The 3,696-nt window shown below is 41.9% G+C and overlaps 1 annotated feature.

Moving 5' to 3' along the window:
• Positions 455–584: an enhancer, noted in NCBI's record as "active region_16587". NCBI's record gives its function as "activates an Ori minimal core promoter by ATAC-STARR-seq in GM12878 lymphoblastoid cells {active_cell/tissue: GM12878}" and the evidence as "EXISTENCE:reporter gene assay evidence [ECO:0000049][PMID:35858748]".

Raw genomic sequence — 3,696 nt, 5'->3', positions numbered from 1 at the left:
ATTAATGAACTCCCCACAGCTTAATTTTGTTTAGATAAGTTAAAAAAAAAAAAAGACAGGAGAAAGGGTGCAACAGTTGACAAACTTTTATTTGCACCAAAAGTCTGGCCACCTGTGGAGTAGTTTATAGGGAGTCGGGGGTGTGGAGTGAGTGGGTGGCACTACTATAAACAAAGCTTCAACCAGCTGCCTGAGAGCTCTGAGTCACACAGAGCAAGCAGGATGTCCCACTAAGATACAGATTGTTTGATTACACCCAGAGACAACAGCACCAAGCCCAGCAGGGACTGACACATCAGGGCCAATCTCTTCACTCACTGTCCCAGCGATGCAGAGGGGCCCCCACCAAGAAAACCCAGGAAGCATTGAGAGTGGCTGTGGGCTGACGCGTCCTGTATGTTTGACGTAAACAGGAGTGTATTTTTTCCCAAGATCAGCCTCTATACAAAGAGATTAAATCAGTCCTATACAGAGGAACTGGTTTTCTCATGCCGACCCATGTTTGCGAATGCTGTCGAAAGTTCTTCAGAATGAAGCTAATCAAAGTGAAAGTGATGACAGGACAGATCGTATTCGAAATCCCAGTGACCTGACCACAGGAGGAGCCCCACCACCGAAACCCTGCAAGGAGGTCAGCAGCAAGACCAGGGCAGGTGCCTGGCAGAGGCCTCCGCATCTGCTGCAACCTGGGCCCTCCCAGCCTCAGCAAAAGGGACTTTGTGGCCACAGCTGCAGTTTATTTCACATTCTATAATGATAGCAACTAGGCAGAAGTGACTGTGGACTGAGCAGAACCATCTTCAAATTTGTTTTTATCCTGGCATAACAGATTTAAGTTAACCAGCTATTGATTAAGTAGAGAACATAAGATAGTTAAACCCACTCTGTGTTCTCCCTCAATATCTACCCCTTTAGTCTGTTATTATGCCAGAAATTCTCTCAACTGGGAACAATGTAATGTTATGATTTTTAAAGCCAATAACACTCTGGTTTACATTAGTTTACCTGAATGTTTGGTTGGATGGATGGATGGATAGATGGATGGGAGGATGGATGGATGTGTCAACCTATAATAAAATATTATAAAATAATCTAAAGAGTCAGAACCACCCATTTGTGAAAAACAAAATTTAAAAGCTGTTGGAATCCAAACTTTCTCTGTTTTTTGTTTGTTTGTTTGTTTGTTTGTTTGTTTGTTTTTGAGAAGGAGTTTCGCTCTTGTCACCCAGGATGGAGTGCAATGGCTTGATCTCGGCTCACTGCAACCTCCGCTTCCCAGGTTCAGGTGATTCTCCTGCCTCAGCCTCCCGAGTAGCTGGGATCATAGGCACCTGCCACCACGCCTGGCTAATTTTTTGTATTTTTAGTAGAAACGGAGATTCGCTATGTTGGTCAGGCTGACCTCAGGTGATCCACCTGCCTGAGCCTCCCAAAATGCTGGGATTACAGGCTTGAGCCACCATGCCCAGCCGGAACCCCAACTTTCAAAGAGTTTATTCAAGTGCAGTTTGAGGATGGCCTACCCGGAAACACCAATTCCAAAGAAATGGAGTCAGAGTTTAAAATACAGAAGTTAAGGTTTCATTTATATAGACAGAGACAGAGGAGTTTTTAGCAGGATTACAGCATTTTTCATAAAGTTGTCACATAGTTACAGCAACTTGATTGGTTATAGGCAGTTTCTTTTTGTAAAGGGTGCATTTGTCACCTTTTACAGAGGGTGTAATAGTCATGGGCTGTCTGTCATCTGGTCTAAGCAAAGCAACACAACACAGGGGAAGTTAGTCTGTAACAATGGTCATTAATTTAGAAGGCAGGAGGTTTTTGTCCTTGAGGTCATTTAATTGCCTCTAGCCATGATAGAGAACAAGAAAAATAAGAAAAATAGTTAATCTATAATCTGAGAAACAAAAATAGCAACTCTATGTGACTCAAATCACACTCACATCTCTCAAAGTGTTTTTTGGGTTCCAACAGCTTTTAAATTTTATTTCTCACAAATGGACGGTTGGATGGGTAGATGACAGGATAGATGGGTGGATAGAGGAATGAAGAATGAGAGAAGAGAAGGTAGGCTTAGACTCCAGAAAATGTAGAACAAGAAAGTAGAGCATGAGATCCTGCCAAACAGGACACATTTTGGAGGAATGCGGAGAATGGCTAAGAGATGAAAATCCGGGGAGTGGGGGACAAAAATGAATATCTTCTTCTCAGTTTTAAGGAAGTATCTTTTATAGTCAAGACTTTTGCTGCTTGTAGAGTCTTACACTATCAACTGTATCATTTCATTCAGCCATTCATTCAACTACTACACTAATTCCTTCCCTTCTCCAACTCATGGAATGTAAAGGAAAAGGACCCAGAGGGAATATTTTCTGGTTAAAGGTGTTTAGTAATTGAGCCTGTTAATAGAACTTTAGAGACCCCACTTTGTTCAGGGGTTGCTATGAGGCATAGTGGAAGCATACACCCTCAGCAGCTGGAAGACCTGAATTCTCTGAACCTATTGAGAGCCTTCAGCTCCTCTGACATACATGAATCCTCTTTTCCTGCTGTTCTTCTGAGTGCTTTACTCCACTCATTAATATGTCCGTAAAGATGAAGTGAAAAGAAAGAGGAAGTACGTTTCAAAACCCTATCATTTTGCAATGTTGACAGTGGAAAGATACAGTGAAAAGGTTAACAAGTTGGTTAGAATGGCATTGAGGGTCAAGTGAGGACTTCCTTTAGTGACCCCTGACCCTATGAGCAGATACAGGAGTTGGTGAGAAACACCATCCTGCAGATTCCACCTGGAGTCACCTCCTCCAGGGAAATTCCTGCATACTCCAGATTTTGCTGATCCTTTCCAAAATATGTGGGGTATGAACTATGAAAGTCAGCATTTAAGTTAGTCCCTGTCTATAGTTGTTTCTTGTGTGCTAACCGTTGCCTGCATATTCCATATCAACATTCCCATGGTGTCTGGAGGTTTTACACAATAAAAGATCCCTAATAAACACTTGTTAAACTGGCATGACCATGCAATTTTAGTGGCACTAAACTTCGACACAAGTCATTTTGGAAAATAATGAGCCTACTGGCAGAGAATAGCATGGTCCACCAATAGTCATTCTCCCCATCTCTAAAACAAAGCCCTGAATCTTAATTAGGCACATAGCCAAGCTACAGACAACATTTTATAGCCTTTCTGCAGCTTAATATGTTGCCATGTGACTAAATCTTGTAATGAAACGAGTAGAATATGTGCCACTTCCAGATCATATCCTACTAAGGAAGGTGTGAGTGTCCTCTTGCCATTTTGTTACCAGTTGAAGGTGTCCAAGTTCTTGGCATCTTGAACAAAGAATTGGACAAAATGCACAAAGCAAGAAAGAATGAAGCAACAAAAGCAGATTTATTGAAAACGAAAGTACACTCCACAGGGTGGGAGTGGTCTGATCATTAGGGGCTGAATTCTCTGGAATTCAGAGATTCTCTGGAATTCTCTGGAATTACAGAATTCTCTGGGGTTTAAATACCCTCTAGAGGTTTTCATTGGTTACTTGGTGTATGCCCTTTGTAAATGAAGTGGATGAAGTAAAGTTACAAACTCCTTTACTCAGTGTACACCCTATGTAAATGGAGAGGATATTTCCTGTCATAGCTGAGGTGTTTCCGTTTGATTTATTTCTAGAACTGCAACATGAATCGGCC

The sequence above is a fragment of the Homo sapiens genome, chromosome 2, assembly GCF_000001405.40.
Source record: "Homo sapiens chromosome 2, GRCh38.p14 Primary Assembly".
Lineage (NCBI taxonomy): Eukaryota > Metazoa > Chordata > Mammalia > Primates > Hominidae > Homo > Homo sapiens.
The sequence above is the reverse complement of the archived record's forward strand: the minus strand, read 5'-3'. Positions and strand labels throughout refer to the sequence as shown.